This window comes from Homo sapiens, chromosome 16 (assembly GCF_000001405.40).
Source record: "Homo sapiens chromosome 16, GRCh38.p14 Primary Assembly".
Lineage (NCBI taxonomy): Eukaryota > Metazoa > Chordata > Mammalia > Primates > Hominidae > Homo > Homo sapiens.
Genome location: NC_000016.10, coordinates 31553949 through 31573106, shown reverse-complemented (window position 1 = coordinate 31573106; position 19158 = coordinate 31553949). Strand labels below are relative to the sequence as shown.

General features: G+C 42.2%; 3 pseudogenes across 2 annotated transcripts; 2 read left to right on the top strand and 1 right to left on the bottom strand.

Annotated features, from left to right (window-relative positions):
• The first annotated feature begins 3582 nt into the window (after positions 1-3582).
• On the top strand, positions 3583-5340 carry YBX3P1 (Y-box binding protein 3 pseudogene 1; annotated as a pseudogene). Its single transcript, NR_027011.1, has one exon. The product of NR_027011.1 is annotated as a Y-box binding protein 3 pseudogene 1 (transcript).
• Positions 5341-5391: 51 nt separating this feature from the next.
• On the top strand, positions 5392-9885 carry FRG2KP (FSHD region gene 2 family member K, pseudogene; annotated as a pseudogene). The gene is made up of 4 exons (NR_135055.1): positions 5392-5733; positions 8399-8499; positions 9106-9182; positions 9473-9885. The product of NR_135055.1 is annotated as an FSHD region gene 2 family member K, pseudogene (transcript).
• On the bottom strand, positions 18180-19054 carry VN1R65P (vomeronasal 1 receptor 65 pseudogene; annotated as a pseudogene).

The following is a 19158-nucleotide window of genomic DNA, read 5'->3' as shown; positions in this document are numbered from 1 at the left end:
GTTTCCTAAATATAAGATCATATCATCAGTGAACAGGAAAAATTCTACTTCCTCTTTTTCAGTTTACATGCCTTTTCTTTCTTTCTCTTGCCTGATTGTGCTGGCAAGGACTTCCAGTACTATGTTGAGTAACAGTGGTGACAGTGGGCATTTTTGTCATCTTCCAGTTCTTATGGGAAATGCTTTCGACTTTCAACAGTATGATGTTGGCTGTGAGTTTCTTGTATATGGGCTTTATTATGTTGAGGTATGTTGCTTTTATAACTGGTTTCTTGTGGATTTTTAAATGAAGCGATGCTGAATTTTATCAAAGGCTTTTTCGGCATCTGTTGAGATAATCATACCATTTTTATCCTTAATTCTGTTTATGTGATGTGTCACGTTTATTGAATTGTGTATATTGAACTATCCTTGCATCTCTGGTATGAGTCCCACCTGATCACAGTGCATTATCTTTTTTATGTGCTATTGGATTTGATTTTCTAGTATTTTGTTGAGGATTTTTGCATCTGTTGAAGTATATTGGTCTGTAGTTTGTGTGTCCTTGTCTGATTTTGGTATCAGGGTGACACTGGCCTTGTAGAATGAGTTAGGGAGAATTCCCTTCTCCTTGATTTTTTGGAATAGTTTCAGGAGGATTGATATTAATTCCTTTTGTGTGTTTGGTAGAATTCAGCTGTGAATCCATCTGGTCCTGAGCTTTTTGTTGCTGTTATTGGAAGTTTGGTGAGGGTGGGGAGGTTTTGGCTTTGGGGTTTTTTGTCTGTTTGTTTGTTTGTTTGTTTGTTTTCACTAATTCAATCTTGCTACTCATTATTGGTTGTTCAGGAGTTGTACTTCTTTCTGGTTCAGTCTTAATAGTTTGAGCATTTCCAGGAATTTATCAATTTCCTCTTGGTTTGTGCGTGTACAGTCTTTCATGATAGTCTCTGAGGATCTTTTGCATTTCTGTGGTATCAGTTGTAATGTCTCCTTTTTCATTTCTGATTATGTTTATTTGGATCTTTTCTGGTTATTCTAGCTAGAGGTTTATCAATTTTCTTTTAAAAGAACCAACTTTTTGTTTCATTGATCCTTTGTATTTTTTGATCTCTATTTCCTTTAGTTCTGCCCTGATCTTTGTTATTTCTTTTCTTCTGCTAACTTTGGGTTTGGTTTATTCTTTTTCTATTAATAGTAACTGAAGATGTAATGTTAAGATGTTAATTTGTGATCTCTCTCCCTTTTTCATGTAGATATTTAATGCTATAAACTTCATTCTTAGCACCATTTTTGCTATATCTCACAGCTTTTGGTATGTTTTTTTTTTCATTTATTTCAAAAAATAATTTCTGTCTTAATTTTTGCTATCAACCCAGTGATTTGTCAGGAGTATGCTTTAAATTTTCATATATTTATGTAGCTTCCAAAGTTTCTCTTGACATTGATTTCTAGCTTTATTCCACTATGATCTGAGATAATTTGATTGTTTTAAATTTTTTAGGACTTGTTTTGTGGCCTAGCATGTTGTCTATCTTGGAAAATGTTCCATGTGCTGATGAAAAGGATGTATATTCTATAGTTGTTGGATAGAATGTTAGAATGTTCTATAAGTCTCCGAATTTCCTTTGGTCTAAAGTCCAATTTAAGTCCAACGTTTCTATTGATGTTCTCTCTTGGTGATCTGTCTAGTGCTGTGAGTAGGGTGTTACAGTCCCCTACTATTATTGTATTGGCGTCAAATTCTTTCTTTCGGTCTGGTAGGATTTGTTTTAGGTGTTCCAAAGTTGGGTACATATATATTTAGAATTGCTATATTCTCTTGCTGACAATTGTTATATCTTCTTGCTCTCAAATGATCTCTTTATCATTATATAATGAACTTCTTTGTCTTTTATTACCTTTTTGTATTTAAGTATATTTTATCTGATATACATATATCTACATCTCTTGGTTTTGTTTCTGTTTGTGTGGAATATCTTTTTCCACCCCTCTGCATTCAATGTATATGTCTTTACAGGTGAATTTCTTATAGGCAGCATATAGTTGAATAATGTTTTTAATCAATTCTGCCAATCTGCATTTTTTAAGTGGGGGATTTTAATCCATCTACATTCAAGGTCAATATTGATATGTGAGGCTTTGTTTCTGTCATATTATTGATTGTTTTCAAGCTGTTTTATAAATTCTTTCTTCTTGTTTTGTCATTGTGGTTTCATGAAATTATGTTGCATTGACATTTGATTCCTTTCTCTTCCTCCTTTGTGTGATTGTTTTGTGTAAACACACAAAGTGAGTTTTATATTTACACGTGTTTTTGGTGATGGTGAATATTGAGCTTTCATTTCCATGTTTAAGACCACTTTGAGCATTTCCTGTTGTACTGATACAGTGTTGACAAATTCACTCAGCATTTCCTCGTCTAGGAAAAACTTTCCTCTTCATTTACGAAGCTTATTCTGGCAGGATACACAATTCTTGGCTAATAACGTTTCAAGCATATAGAAAATACACAAAGTAATGTAATAAACCTGTCACCCAGCCTCCACAGGTACCAATCATGTGCCATTTTTGTTTCATCTATATTTCAACCCACTCCTCACCCCTCACAACTGTTTTATTATTCTAGGGGTTGTTTGTTTGTTTGTTTTTGAGACAGAGTTTCACCCTTGTTGCCCAGGCAATGGCGCCATCTCGGCTCACCACAACCTCCACCTCCCGAGTTCAAGCGATTTTCCTGCCTCAGCCTCCCGAGTAGCTGGGATTGCAGGCATGCGCCACCACACCCGCCTAATTTTGTATTTTTAGTATAGACTGGGTTTCTCCATGTTGGTCAGGCTGGTCTTGAACTCCACCTCAGGTGATCTGCCCACCTTGGCCTCCCAAAGTGCTGGGATTACAGGCGTGAGCCACATTTTAGGGTTTTTTTGTGAGACAAAATGTACATACATTAAAGATAGAATCTTAACCGTACCCTTTTGAGAAAACAGTACACCTATATAAACCTCCCTCTAAGAATAAAATTCCTGGCCAGGCGCAGTGGCTCACGCCTGTAATCCCAGCACTTTGGGAGGCCGAGGCGGCCGGATCACCTGAGGTCAGGAGTTCAAGATTAGCCTGGTTAACAGGGTGAAATCGCGTCTCCACTAAAAATACAAAAATTAGCCTTGGTGTGGTGGCGCATGCCTGTAATCTCAGCTACCCAAGAGGCTGAGGCAGGAGAATCGCTGGAACCCAGGAGATGGAGGCTGCAGTGAGCCGAGATCGTGCCACTGCACTCCAGCCTGGGTGACAGAGCGAGACTCTGAAAGAAAAGGAAAGAAAAAAAAGACGAAAAGAAAGGAAAGGAAGGAAGGGAGGGAGGGAGGGAGGGAGGGAGGGAGGAAGGAAGGGAGGGAGGGAGAGAAAAAAGGGGGCAGTAAGATCGAGCGAGGAGCCCAAGAAGCGAGCGCGCATCCCGAAGCTCGAGCTGCCTCCGCTGCGCGACCCCACCTCTGCCGCCGCCGCCTGCGCCGCGAGATCAGCCCCGGCCTCCCCGAGAGCGAGCCCCGGCCGCGGCGACCACCAGCCGCACTAACCGCCGACCAACCGCCACCGAGGCGCATGAGCGAGAGCAGAGGAGGAGGAGGCATGAGCGAGGCGGGCGAGGCCACCATCATCACCACCACCCTCCAGCAGGCTCCTGCGGTGGCGGCCGCCGCGGCTCCCCAGGACCCCGCGACCAAGAGCCGGGTGGGCAGCGGTGCACCCCAAGCCGCGGCCCCGGCGCCCGCCGCCCTCGTCGCAGGAAACCCGGGTGGGGACGGGGCCCCCGCAGCCACGGGCACCGCGGCCGCCGCCTCTTTAGCCACCGCCGCCGACAGCGAAGACGCGGAGAAAAAAGTTCTCGCCACCAAAGTCCTTGGCACTGTCAAATGGTTCAACGTCAGAAATGGATATGGATTTATAAATCGAAATGACACCAAAGAAGATCTATTTATACATCAGACTGCCATCAAGAAGAATAACCCACAGAAATATCTGCGCAGTGTAGGAGATGGAGAAACTGTAGAGTTTGATGTGGTTTAAGGAGAGAAGGGTGCAGAAGCAGCCAGTGTGACTGGCCGGGGTGGAGTTCCTGTGGAGGGCAGTCGTTACGCGCTGATTGGCGCCGTTACAGACGTGGCTACTATGGAAGGCGCCATGGCCCTCCCCGGGATTACGCTGGGAGGAGGAGGAAGAAGGGAGCGGCAGCAGTGAAGGATTTGACCCCCCTACCACTGATAGGCAGTTCTCTGGGGCCCGGAATCGGCTGCGCCGCCCCCAGTATCGCCCCCAGTACAGGCAGCAGCGGTTCCCGCCTTACCACGTGGGACAGACGTTTGACCGTCGCTCACCGGTCTTACCCCATCCCAACAGAATACAGGCTGTTGAGATTGGAGAGCTGAAGGATGGAGTCCCAGAAGGAGCACAACTTCAGGGACCATTTCATCGAAATCCAACTTACCGCCCAAGGTACCATAGCAGGGGACCTCCTCGCCCACGACCTGCCCCAGCAGTTGGAGAGGCTGAAGATAAAGAAAATCAGCAAGCCTCCAGTGGTCCAAACCAGCCGCCTGTTCGCCGTGGATACCGGCGTCCCTACAATTACCGGCGTCGCCCACGTTCTCCTAACGCTCCTTCACAAGATGGCAAAGAGGCCACGGCAGGTGAAGCACCAACTGAGAACCCTGCTCCATCCACCGAGCAGAGCAGTGCTGAGTAACACCAGGCTCCCCAGGCACCTTCACCATCGGCAGGGTGACCTAAAGAATTAATGACCGTTCAGAAACAAAGCAAAAAGCAGGCCACAGCCTTACCAACACCAAAGAAACATCCAAGCAATAAAGTGGAAGACGAACCAAGATTTGGACATTGGAATGTTTGCTGTTATTCTTTAAGAAACAACTACAAAAAGAAAATGTCAACAAATTTTTCCAGCAAACTGAGAACCTGGGAATTCCTGCACAGAAGACAAGAGAGCAGCCTCCCCAGTTTCAGCAAGCGCTAGGTTTATATTTTTTTCCTGGTTTTTACTGTTTGGGTAATAGATATTGAAACAAGTAATATTAATACCGCATGGGGAGAACCCCAACCAAAGAAATCTGAAATATAAAATAAATGCTTTTTTTTCCGTTTTTGTTCATTTTGGATGCTGGCGCTAAGCCTCCAAGTGTCATGATTAAAAAAAAAATTATGTCCTTATTTATTTCTAGGATGAGGGGAGGATAACATTTTTGCTTTCTTATGTGACTCTCTTGGAAAATGTGCAGTAAGAAGTTCCTCAAAAATAAAATTTTTACCCTTCAAAGGAAAAAAAAGAATAAAATTCCCCAACTTAACAATTATTAATGTGCATATGAATCATATGGGAATATTATTAATGTGTCAGAGGTTGAAGAAGTGGCCAGAAAAAGAAAAGTATTTTGATGGCAGGCTGGAGAACATCATGAGAGTAAACTTTAGGCCTGTTGACTGTCATTTTGGCAATGTATTGGGCCCTGGCCAAAGTGCTTGGATGCAACGTGGGGCCAATCAATAAATCCATCCCCCATGCTTTTCCTGGCCATGAGGTAATCGGCAGCCTAGTTCATGTCTTGATGGGAACCTTTGCCATGTGGAAGGATCACATCTCAGGTTTCTTGACAACTGGATGACTTTTGAGAACAAAGATCTAGGACAGATCTATTCTTGGATTGTGGACAGGCATCAGCCTACTAACATCATATGGAACAGGTGACATCCAAATATGTTAAGAACCTCTGACAATGAAGAGTAAAACACAAACTCAATTTTAAAAGGCACAGGACCTATGAAAACATTTTATGGTAAAAGAAATACAAATGGCCATTTCCCACGTAAAGATGCATCTAACCTCAATGGTGGTCACAGGAAAATAAATTACAAAAAAAAAAGTTTTGTGTGACCATCAGTTAGGAAAATTAAATGCTTCCTACTAATCTTTTCATGATAAGTAAAAACATACTAGCCAGGCATGGTGGCTCATGCCTGTATTCTCAGCATGTTGGGAAGCTGAGGCAGAAGGATACCTTAAGCTCAGGAGTTTGAGGCTACAATGAGCTATGATCATGCACTCCAGCCTGGGTAACAGAGAGTGAGACCCTGTTTCTAAATAAATAAATAAATGAGTGCATGAGTGAACATACATACATACATATACACACACGGTTTTTTACATGTTTATAGAGAGTATAAAGGGCCAATGACCTTTTAAGGCACAATTAGCAAATATGTATTGAGTGGAAAGATGCATGTTCTTGCATGCAGGATTCTACCTCCTGAAATGCATCTGATAACACTGCTTGAAAATGTGTGTAGAAATGCCCACACTAGCATGTTTGTGGTGGGCATATAAATAATAGCAAAACAAAACAAAGGAAAAAGAAAAGTACATATATGTGAGGAACCCTTTTGGTTATCCTGGGTTTTTGAGATAATGTTCATAGAAGGAAAGCAAGTCAAATGAAGAGCAATTGAGCAGGAAACGGGGGGAAATACCCTCAGAGTAATAAGATTATCTCATTACACTTAAGTTTTGCTGATGCTTCAAGTTTCCTGAGTAAGTTATGCGAAGCATCTTTCTCTGAAAATCTTCTTGCTGCAGAACAAACCATGTTTAGTGTCTGTATATGTCTCAACTTCCTGTCCCCACCTGGCGGATGGGAAAAAGGACACGGTCCTTGCTTGTGTTTTGGAGTGAAAGAAGCATTAAAGGTCTTGCAGACTTTACCAAGGATTCTCCTGGTCTCATTTCAGATCCAACTTCCAACTCCAGGCAGCCTCTGTGTTTTTCTTTAATGTATAATCAGGATGTACTTCAATTTGGACTCTATTGCTGTTTGGCCTGTATATGCAGTTTCAAGATAGCCCCATACACCTGCCTGCAATGATCCTTCAGGAATAGAATGGGCTTCTGAGTTGAGGAATTTGGGAGTATACTGAGCCCTTTGTGTATTTTTATTAAGTTTCTCTATTCATGCCAGGAGAAGGCTGTGGACAAAAAGTAAAGGAGGAGACACTGGAATTGTGATGTCCAAAGATTCCAATGTTCAAGGATTATTTGAACCCTTCAGATATCTCATTTTTGCTTTGTTCCTTCTGTCAGTCTTAGTAAAGGGTCCTGGAGTCAGAAGTTGCTGGGGCTTTCTTGGTTTCAGTGTCTGCTTTTTATTTAAGCCCATGGGTTTGGGGACAGGGTCCCACCACAGCACTTCACTGGGCACCTCCTGATCCTGGCCATGTGTCCTAAAATCTGGCAGTTATTGCATGTTCTCTGTGGGTTGAGGAGCAGGGAGGTCAATGAGTTAGCAGCAATCACAGGTGGCTTTCAGAGGTTCTTGTGAGGATATATTTTTGGATTTGGGTATTGGTTTTTCAGGACAGAAACAGACAAGTGGCCCATTAGGTGTCTGGAAATTCATAATGCAAAGTCATATCCACAACTTATTGTAAACAGAAACACAAAGAGAAAGAACCAAAGCGTGCAAGGTTGATGATGATAATCCAGCTGAATGGATCAGCTTAGATCACAGATGCCGAGCAGACTCTACAGAGTATAGTGGGGCTCCCAGGGTGACTGAGGGAGAATGAGGTAAAGGGAAAGTTTTGCTCTTCAGCTGGACTTTTTGCTGCCTCAAGAATTCAGTTGATTGGGTTAGCTTTACATGTGATCTAATCAGTCCAATGCGGTCACATTTTACCTAATCATCTCCCCCACTTTCAAGCTAGGAAAGGATATTTTATTTGGTGTTTACTTTTTCTCTGCATTATTATCTTACCACATATGCATATATCTAATATATGAACTATAACTTGATATTTGTCATATCCAAGCATTTGAGAAATATAACATCTATGCGCACAATTTTAACACTATATATAATTTTCTTCATGTGCAAAATATATATACACATGTCAATATGTGGTCTGTCTAATTCTGCATCTTGAATTCGGGGCAGGATCTTAAATACTTCTAGGTGGGAATTGGGGCACAAATCAGATAGGGATAAGTTTCTTGCATTCCTCTTCCTGTGCCCCCAGCTTTGAATTCCTGCTTCTTAACATGGTGACGGGGCTCTGCATCTAGACCTTATCTGTGTCTAGGTCCCCAAGGTGTTCATGATGGAAAAATTTCTTATTGAGGCCATGATGAGTGGCAGGAGGGAGAAATCTCTTCAGCCAGTAGGAGTGAGCCATGTCCAGCTTAAGGGCTTAGAAAAACAGGTTCACAAGAACAACCTGCACCTGATTCTGGGCATGTGTGAGAGAGAGAGAGAGAGATCACCTTTCACTGAAGCTTCACCATGGGATGGGGAACTGAAGACCAGACTCCCACTGCCCCTCCATCCAATGCCCCATTGACCCACCTTCTTTCCAACAGGTCTCCTTTACAGAAAGGGGCTTGGATAAGGAGGAAAGACCATCAGAAGAAAAGATAAGACACTGTCTTCTCATTCCAGTAAGAGCCACATGCAAGGCAAGGTAAGGCCTTTGGGCTGTTCCTATGGAGTCTGGTAGGAGGGGTAGAATTAGGGATACTGATCTGTGTCTTTGGTGGGGTTTCATTTTGAGATTAGAAACGGGAAATGACTTACAGTCATCACAGGGATTTCAGAAATATGGTGATGATCCCCCGGAACTCTGTGCTTCCCATTCACACTTGACACTGGCTGAACAGCCTTGATTGAGAGAATGACCCACAAATATCGGTTAGGTATAGACTTTGGGACTCTATGCCTAGGAAGAGATGAGTCACCTAAACTTTCTTTTGCACTGAGATCAGAGCCCAATTCAAATGAGGAAGAGAATTCCAAGGAAACTAAGCTCAAAGTCAGAAGCAGCACTGCTAAACTATGTAAGATGTGATTCTTTCAAGGTGAGAAGAGATAGTGGATGGGTAAACACAGTCTCCTCTGGGAAGGGAACTGGGAGCTCTTTGGCATCCAGGTTCTTATAATTCTTGGACTCTGGAGAACAGAGAAGAACCGAGTTTTGGTGGCTACCTCAGCTCTGGTGTGTCCAGGATGGACTAGAGTGCCTAAGGTGTTCAGTTGGAGGCAGTCACTCAAACTCCCATTTTATCCACAGAATCAGAGTCCAGCTCAGATGGGGGAACTCTAGGAAGAGAGAAATCCATTCCATGGACAGCTGCCAAGATAGAGCAGGTAGGATCTTCCTTTTTTGTTCCAAAGGGCAGATTAGCAGGTTGTTTATACTGAGTTTGGGCAGGAAAGGGGTTTCTCAGTGGCTGAGAGGATTTTAGAGATCCTGACATCCAGAAAGCATTTGGGGTCCCAGAAGGGATTTAGCCTCCCTTGCTTAGGGAGACAGAGGGGGCAGGGAAGGAGGAGGAAAGACAAGTGGGGTTCACCTGAAGGTGCATGGGGACATTCTGGGAATGAGCATCCATGGGAGCTGTTCTGGTAAGTCTCTCACTCACATGCTTCCTCTTCAGGACAGCATCAAGGACATGAGCCGAAAGTGCAAAAGGACTGCTTGACTTTGGAAAAGAAACCAAAGGCCTCTCTGACACTGTACACATCAGTGAAATGAGGAGACCCATGATGCCTGCTGTGGGGGACCCCCAGAGGCCCACACCGGGCACAGCAAGCGGCCCAGATCTCAGTCTCTAGGAGACCACCCACTGCCACTTCAGAAAAGCCTGGTGACCTCTCTGCACACTCCATCTGAAGCCATTTATCACAACACAGCCCAGGTGTGGGAACAGTAGGCCTATTCTCTGCTGACCTGGGAGCAGCTGTCTGAGCTCACCCTGGCTCCAGGGGGACTCTGTGCTATGGTACAAACCTGTGCCGTGGCCGCCCAGATGGCCTATGTCTTTCCCACTGAGGGCTGGCTCATCCCAGCCACACTCCCTGGTCCCTAGGATCCGGCCCTGAATGGAGAAGCTCAGAGCTCCTCCTAGGAAGAAAATGGACCCACCCTTACCCTGGAGAGGAGATAAAGGAGCCTGATAGTGGATCAAATGAGGCTTTAGCTGGGGGCACCCAGACCCTATTCAACAGAGGACACAGCTATGAGAGTGAGAACAAAGACCTGCTACTTCTCAGGCAATTTTAGACACACTGTGTTAATACATGACAAAACCAGGGACAGTCTTGGGAAAGGAGTTTGAACAATATCCTCAAAGTGGAAAATGTTTCATTTGAGTCTAAAACTACTGACAAATTTTGTACTTCATGTTAGACATTTGATGTTTTTGGATGTTTTATAACAGTCACACATTTCTTTGTAATCAGAAAATATTAGGGTAATGATTCATATGTGTTTGTATATTGCAAAGTATAGCAAAATGAATATATATGTAGCTCTTCCCCCTTTAAGTCAAAAAAGGCTGTAGCTCTTTACTTTCCCATCCTGAGTCAGTAATAAAGGACTGATATCTACTAACCTTCAACAACATTCTCTATGGAGAAATGTTGGTATTTTTTCAATTCGACGAAATGATAAAATCATGCCATTGTTTCATTTTCTTTGTTCTAAAACTGTCAGAATGTATTAAGCGCTTGTTGATCATATTTATTTATTCTTCAACCTGGATTATATTATCTGCCTAATTTTAATCTTCCATTTCATAGGCTTCAATTGAGCTTATTTTTTAAAAAGCTTTATTAAAGTATAATTAACTTTCAATAAGCTGCACATATCTAGAAGGTTTATTTTGTTTTGATGTATGTGTATACCTGGGGAATCATCAACACAGTCAAGACAATGAGTATATCGATTCCCCCCAAACATTTTATCATGATTACCCCCCATTGCAATTCTTCCTTTGCACTCCTTCCAACCCTAAGCGCTCTCTAAGCAACCACCGCTTCCAGTAACAATAGATTGATTTTCACTTTCCACAATTCTATATAAATAGAATCACACAGCATAAAATCAAGTCCCACTGTAGCAGGTATCAACAGTTCATCGCCTTTCGATGCAAAATTGTATTCTAGAGCTTGTTTATTTATTCGCTAGTTGGAGACCATGTGAATTGTTTCTAGTTTTTGTCTATTACAAATAAAACTGGCATGAATATTCATATACAAGTTGCTGAATAGACATATATTACAATATCTCTTAAGTAAATACTTCGGAGTTTAATGTTCAAAAAAGGGAACAACCACTAAACTGTTTTGGAAAGGGGTGGCATCATTACACATTCCCATGAAGACTGTACGAGGGTTCCATTTCCCCTACATTCTCATCACATTTGGTATAGTCCCTCTATTTAATTTTCTGTTTTTCTCTTTCTTAACTTTTACTTTAGGTTCAGGGGTACATGTGAAGGTTTGCTACATAGGTTGAAGGTTTTTTACTTAGGTAGACTCATGTCACAGGGGTTTGTTGTACAGATTTTTTCATCACCCAGGTATTAAGCCTAGTACCGAATAGTTACTTTTTCTGCTCCTCTCCCTCCTCCCAATCTCCACCCTCAAGTAGGCCCCAGTGTCTCTTGTTCCCTTTTTTGTGTCTGTGTGTTCTCATCATTTAGCTTTCACTTATAAGTAAGAACACATGGTATTTGGTTTTCTGTTCCTGTATTAGTTTGCTAAGGATAATAGCTGCCAGCTCTATCCATGTTTCTGTGAAAGACATGATCTTGTTGTTTCTTGTGGCTGCGTCGCATTCCATGGTGTATATGTACCACATTTTCTTTATCCAGTCTGTCACTCATTTAGGTTGATTCCATGTCTTTGCTATTGTGAATAGTGCTGCAATGAACATTCACATGTATGTATGGCAGAATGATTTATATTCCTCTAGGATATATCCAGTAATGGGATTACTAGGTCTAATGGTATTTCTGTTTTTCAGTCTTTGAGGAATCACCATACTACTTTCCACAATCGTTGAACTAATTTACACTCTCACCAACAGTGTAGCAGTGCCAGCTCCATCCATGTTTCTGTGAAAGACATGATCTTGTTTCTTATGGCTGCATAGCATTCCATGGTGTATATGTACCACATTTTCTTTATCCACTCTGTCACTGATTGGCAATTAGGTTGATTTCATGTCTTTGCTATTGTGAATAGTGTGCAATGAACATTCACATGCATGTATCTTTATGGTAGAATGATTTATATTCCTCTGGGTATATATCCAGTAATGGGATTACTGGGTCTAATGGTATTTCTGTTTTTCAGTCTTTGAGGAATCACCATACTACTTTCCACAATCGCTGAACTAACTTACACTCCCAACAACAGTGTGTAAGTGTCCCCTTTTCTTCACAACCTCACAAGCATCTGTTATGTTTTGAATTTTTTGTTTGTTTTTTTGAGACGGAGTCTCACTCTGTCACCCATGCTGGAGTGCAGTGGCACGATCTAGGCTCACTGCAAGCTCCGCCTCCCAGGTTCACGCCATTCTCCTGCCTCAGCCTCCAGAGTAGCTGGGACTACAGGCACCTACCACCACGCCCGGCTAATTTTTTGTATTTTCAGTAGAGACGGAGTTTCACCGTGTTAGCCAGGATGGTCTCGATCTCCTGACCTAGTGATCCGCCCGCCTCGGCCTCCCAAAGTGCTGGGTTTACAGGCATGAGCCACCGCGCCCGGCCTGTTTTGACTTAATAATAGCCATTCGGACTGGTGTGAGGTGTTAATCTCATTCTGGTTTTGATTTGCATTTCTCTAGTGATCAGTAATATTGAGCTTTTTTCAGATACTTGTTGGCCACATTTATGTCTTATTTTGAAAAGTGTGTGTTCATGTCCTTTGCTCACTTTTTAATGAGGTTGTTTGTTTTTCTCTTGTAAATTTAAGTTCCTTGTGGATAGGAGACCTTTGTCAGATGCATAGTTTGCAAAAACTTTCTCTCATTCTGTAGTTGTCTGTTTACTCTGTTGATAGTTTCTTTTGCTGTGCAGAAACTCTTAAGTTTAATTAGATACCATTTGTCAATTTGTGCTTTTATTGCGATTGCTTTTGGTGTCTGTCATGAAAGATTTGCCCATTCTTATGTCTAGGATGGTATCGTCTAGGATGTCTTCCAGGATATTTTATAGTTTTTGGTTTTACATTTAAGTCTTTAGTCTATTGTGAATTGATTTTTGTATATGGTATAAGAAAGGGGTCCAGCTTCAATCTTCTGCATATGGCTAGCCAGTTATCCCAGCACAATTTATTGAATAGGGATTCTTTTCCCCATTGCTTGTTTTTGTCAGCTTTGTCAAAGATCAGATGGTTGTTGCTGTATGGCCTTATTTCTGGCCTCTCTATTATGTTCCATTGGACTATGTGCCTGTTTTTTTTTTTACCAGTTCCATGCTGTTTTGGTTACTGTAGCCCTGTAGTATAGTTTGAAGTCAGGTAGCATGATGCCTCCAGCTTTGTTCTTTTTGCTTAGGATTACCTTGGCTATTCAGGCACTCTTTTGGTTCCATATGAATTTTTAAATAGTTTTTCTAGTTCTGTGAAGAATTTCATTGGTAGTTTGGTAGGAATAGCATTGAATCTGTACATTGCTTTTGGGCAGTCTAGCCATTTTAATGATATTGATTCTTCCTATCCATGAGCATGGAATGTTTTTCCATTTGTTTGTGTCATCACTGATTTATTTGAGCAGTGTTTCGTAATTCTCATTGTAGGGGTCTTTCACCTTCCTGGTGAGCTGTATTCCTAAGTATTCTATTCTTTTTGTGGTGATTGTGAATGGGATTGCCTTCCTGATTTGGCTTTCAGCTTGTCTGCTGTTGGTGTACAGAAATGCTAGTGATTTTTATATGTTGATTTTGTATTCTGAAACTTTGCTGAAGTTATCTATCAGCTGAAGGAGCTTTTGGGCGAGACCATGGGGTTATCTAGGTATAGAATTATGTCATCTGCAAACAGGGATAGTTTGACTTCTTCTCTTCCTATTTGAATGCCCTTTGTTTCCTTCTCTTGCCTGATTGCTCTGTCTAGGACTTTCAATACTATGTTGAATAGGAGTGGTGAAAGTGGACATCCTTGTTTCGTGCTTGTTTTCCAGGGGAATGCTTCCAGCATTTGCCCATTGACTATGATGTTGGCTGTGGGTTTTTCATGGATGGCTCTTATTGTTTTGAGGCATGTTCCTTTGATACCTAGTTTATGGAGAGTTTTTAATCAATATACTGATTTCCTTTCTTTGGGGTATATTCCTAGGAGTAGGGTTGCTGGATCATAAAGTAGCTCTATTTTTAGTTTTTTGAGGATCCTCCAAACTGTTCTCCATAGTGGCTGTACTAATTTACATTTCCACCAACAGTGTACAAGGATTCCCTTTTCTCCACATCCTCACCAGCATTTGGATTCTGTCTTTTTTTTCTCTTTTTCTTTTTTTTTTTTTTTTTTTTTTTGAGATGGAGTCTTATGCTGTCACCCAGGCTGGAGTGTAATGGCGCTATCTCTGCTCACTGCAACCGCTGCCTCCTGAATTCAAGTGATTGTTTTCAGTTTGCAGCCCCAAAGATGATGTCCTCATTCAAATAGTCTGTAGTTTTCAATACGGAAGACCAAAAGCTAGAAAGTAGTCAATGACACAAAACTCTTGAGTTCTGACCACTGAGTGGAGTGACCACTCCTGCTTCAAGTTCCACATGGCTGGCACTGAGGTTAAACACCCACAGCAGCCCAGTGGAACCATGAAGTGTCATTTTTCCCCGACCCATTAGAAAACTAGGACTAGGCATTTAGTAAATACTCAGTGAATTGTGTGTTGTGGGGGAGGGTCCCATAGAGCCAGCAGCATTGCTTTGGACAATGGAGGGGGGCAAAAAATTCCCACCAAAGATGAATCCCAGTTTTTCCTTTAGAGCTGTTTCTGTTCCAGTCCAATTTCCTTCTTGATTATGTTATTTCTATTTACCAAGTGGCATTCTGAGATCATTTATAGAGTCCAAATTGACCCATCTCAAAATTGAAATATAAAGCTATATTTCAGGAAATATAGTAACTTTCAGGAAAGGTCCCAGCCCTAAGTTTGGCAGGAGCCCCTGACTTTAAGCAAGCTCAAAGCTGACGTAGAAATCAGTGTAACTAGTAGTGTTACGGTTGCTATGAGTTCAAAATCCCAAAGAATAAAAATAGAAAAATTAGCTGGGTATGGTGGCGTGTGCCTGTAATCCCAACTACTCAGGAGGCTGAGGCAGGAGAATCGCTTGAATCCGGGAGGCGGAGGTTGCAGTGAGCCGAGATCGTGCCACTGCACTCCAGCCTGGGTGAAAGAGTGAGACTCTGTCTCACAAAAAAAAAGAAAAGAACAGAAGAAAGAAAGGGAAGGGAAGGGAAAGAAAGAAAAGAAAAGAAACAAAAGAAAAGAAAGAAAAAGAAAAGAAAGGAAAGAAAAAACATCCCTGCCCAGGAAGGGAGGGGCAGCTCAGGCTCCTAACCTAGGCAAGAGGGTGCACCAAATGCCTGGAAATATGCCTGGGCAAGGAGCAGAGAAACCAACACTGCAACAAGACCTTTTCAAGGAAAGGAGAGGTGGCTCAAGCTCCTAATCTGGGAGAGTGAGTATGCCGGAAGCCAAGAGACAAGTCCGTGTATGAGCAGAGAGAGTGCTGCTGCATCATGTTCTCTGCATGGGAACGGACAGGCAGCCCAGAACTCAAAATCCAGGTGAGAGGGTGCACCAGATGCCTGCAGACATGCCTCGGCCAAGAGCAGAGGAGATGCCTCTGCACCAAGCTCTTCGCACAGGAAGGAAGTGGTGGCCCATGCTCCCGATCCAGGTGAGCAGGAGTGGGATCTGTCTCCCTCCCCATCCTCAGAACCAGTTGGGCTCACTCCCCTGACTGACAAAGGGGGCAGGCTGGGGCGCCCAGAAATGCCATACGTAGACTGGTCCCAGGTTGCAAAGCCACCTCTGGCCATAAATATCACCACCTGAGAGCAACCATGGCTTCAGCAAATCTCCTCCCTTTCCAGTCCTGTAATGAAAGAAAGACCGATTCCGGTGCCTATAGCGGAAGTACACACCACACTTGCTGCTCAATTCTGCCTATGGGGGTCCTTCTCCTCCTCCAGAACAAGTGCTTTAATCTTTCTCACCAGAGACCTAAATACCTGTGGCAGCTGCTGCTGCCCAGCCACCAAACAATGACTGCCTTGACATGAGCCAGAATTGAAAATGGCATCCTCCTCTTGGTCCTGGGTCTGGGAAAATGTCTGCAGCTTTTCCCAGTGCCTTTCCCTCTCAGAGTCTCCCAGCCTCTCCCCAAATTCGCTCCAGGGCTTGGGAGAAGCAAGATGCTCTTCCATGTCCTGAGTTCCACATATCCCCGTTGAAAACGTGAGTTACTGAGACTCTCTGTCCCTTTCACATACTAGGGATTCACTCACTTTTCTCAGATGAATGCCACCACCCAAGCTGCTTGCCCACCTTCCCTTCCCCAGGATCTGAAGTTATCTATGCTTCTCTGGTGAACTGTCATGTTCCTGCTCGAATAAAAGCTCAGTGTCCATCTCTATGAACTATTTTGCTATTTCCGACATGGAAGACAAAAAAACAACTAGTGTTCCTAATAGCCCCATCATGAATACTACTCATATGCATTTACAGTGGCATGATTAAGTTCATTGCTTGATGTTCAGATGATGCCATTACTTTAGAGGGCAAAAACCTCAACCAACCTAATAATTCTATCACCTACCTAATGAATGAACCACAATAACATACAGATAAGTTTCCAAACATGTGGAATTCAAAATCTACATACAAAATAAGTTACGCTATATGATTTCATATATAAGCTACAAAACAGGTGAAAGTACAGGTGAGCTATACTGTTAGGAGTCAGAGTCATGGTTACTCCTAGAGGTAGTGACTGGGAAGGGCACAAGGAGGTGGCTGGGGTCTGACGATGTTCTGTTTTGCAACCTAAGACATGCATACAGAGTTGGGTTCAGTTTGTTAAAATTTCATTTAGTTGTGCACTTATGGCCTGTGCAAGTATTCCAACTTTTTTAAAAAATACATATCAATTAAAACACAAAGAGAGAACATAAATGGATTAGTGATTTTTGTTGTTGTTGTTTTGAGACAGGGTTTCACTCTGTCGCCTAGGCTGGAGTCAAGTGGTGTGACTTGACTCCAGCCTAGGCGACAGAGTGAAAACACACAGAGCAAACACAGAGCCTTGGCCTCCTGGGCTCAAGTGATCCTCCTACCTCAGCCTCCTGAGTAGCTGGGACTTCAGGCATGTGGCACCATGCCTGGCTAAGTTTTTAATTTTTTGTAGAAACTAGGGCTCACTATGTTGCCCAGGCTGGTCTCAAACTCCCTAGCTCAAGCAATCCTCCTGCCTCGGCCTCCCAAAGTGCTGGGATTACAAGCGTGAGCCACCTCACCTGGCTTGATTAGTAATTTAATGCCTTAATGTTGTCAAAGTGGAGGTTGAAAGTATTAAATAACTTTATACCATGATTAATATTTCAAAGTCTGCTGTAACCTCTGTGTTAAAAACTAAGATATGCTTGTATATAACTCCTAAATAACAGATGTTAACTGTGATTTTTAAAAATCTATATATAACATAGAAGACGTTAAAATTGGAAGAATCAGAAAAGATGATGGGTATTCAGAAGAATACAGAAAGTTGGTATATCCAATGCCAAATATAGCCTTTAAAATATTAAACATAAATAGCTAAATTATTCCTGTCAAAGTCAAATGTTATTTGACTATATTCAATTGGATATTCCTTCAAGAGATACAACTAAACATAAACATAATTTTTTTATATATTTATGTTTTAGTTACATCTCTTGAAGGAGTAGAAAAATTAGAAGATATATGTTATTTTAAACAATTAAAATTAAAGTAGAAAAAGTAAAGATACATTATATATGATTTTAACCAATTAATCAGTGAGGATGGTGATACCTCAGATAAAAAAGACAATACGGTTAAAGTAGTTTAACATTGTTATAACTAATATTATTTTTACATTTCTTAAAGAATAATTTTCCAATATTATTGCTTGATGAATAACAAACATAGTCTGATTATCCCCACACAGTTAGACATATGTAGGTGTTTTTCTGTATGTATCACCAATCCCTTGTAACGTCAGTTTCACAACTGTGCTTATAATTCTTTGGGGATGAGTAAACAACTGAACATTGTGCAAAAATACACAACATACATATATATGATAAAATTAGTGGATTTTGTATTCTGTGTCAGGCAAATCAGAACCTGGAGACAACAGAGTCACAGCTGATGGAAACAAAAAGTCTGAGAGTTGGGGAACACAGAGCACTCAGGGCAGAAATGTTCACCAGCCACTGCCCAAGAGGATTAAAAAGAGCCAAAAATTGACAAAAGGAAAAGACAATATAAAAGCATACATAGATGCTCCCCAGGACCAGGATGGCTTAGGTGACTCTGGACTCAGGGGAAGACCTGAACAGCCAGTGGGTCCTATGAATGTGTTGGACCTTCAGCTTGTGCCGGTGCAGGATGAAAATCATGGAGCCTCTGGCCCAAGCCGTGATTCCCAAATCCAAAACATCAAGGAATCAGAACAGCACTGCACACAGGGAGTGGGGGATTTTGACATGCATCACAGCATAACAGTAGCCATTATCTGTTTTCCTTGTGATGGCTGCATTGAGTTATAGCCAGACACATAAAGAAGAAAATTATTTGTTAGTGTGTTTAGGATCCAGCACCAGAGAATCAAGTGTCCAATGAGCTTGGGAAATATTATTCTAAGCTCTGCCCTACTGGAGTCCCTGGGGAAATAGTGATGGCCTGGAAGACACTCAGGAGGCAAGTGCTGCCAGGAGGAACACCCCTGCCCAGTCTCTGAAGGAAGAATAGAAGTTCACGTGAAAAATCCTTGAAGTTGTTCAAACCAAAGATGTCATGGTCTTCCAGATTTTTTTAGAGGGAATGACCAAAGAGTTGGGTATAATCAGGTGCATGAGAATCAAATCTGTGCACCTTAACTTGCACCCAGTGAGGAAAAGGGAGACATATGATAAAGAAGAGAGTTTCCCAGACTTTGCAGAGTCAAATGTGTCAGTCTGTCTTCTGCTAAACAATCCATCATGGTTGAGTATCGTTGATCAAAGTGATTCCTGCACCTGCAGATTATTCAGGTGATTATGACATGACCTCTCGGACAGGGTGTTCCAGAGAAACAAAACCAATTTA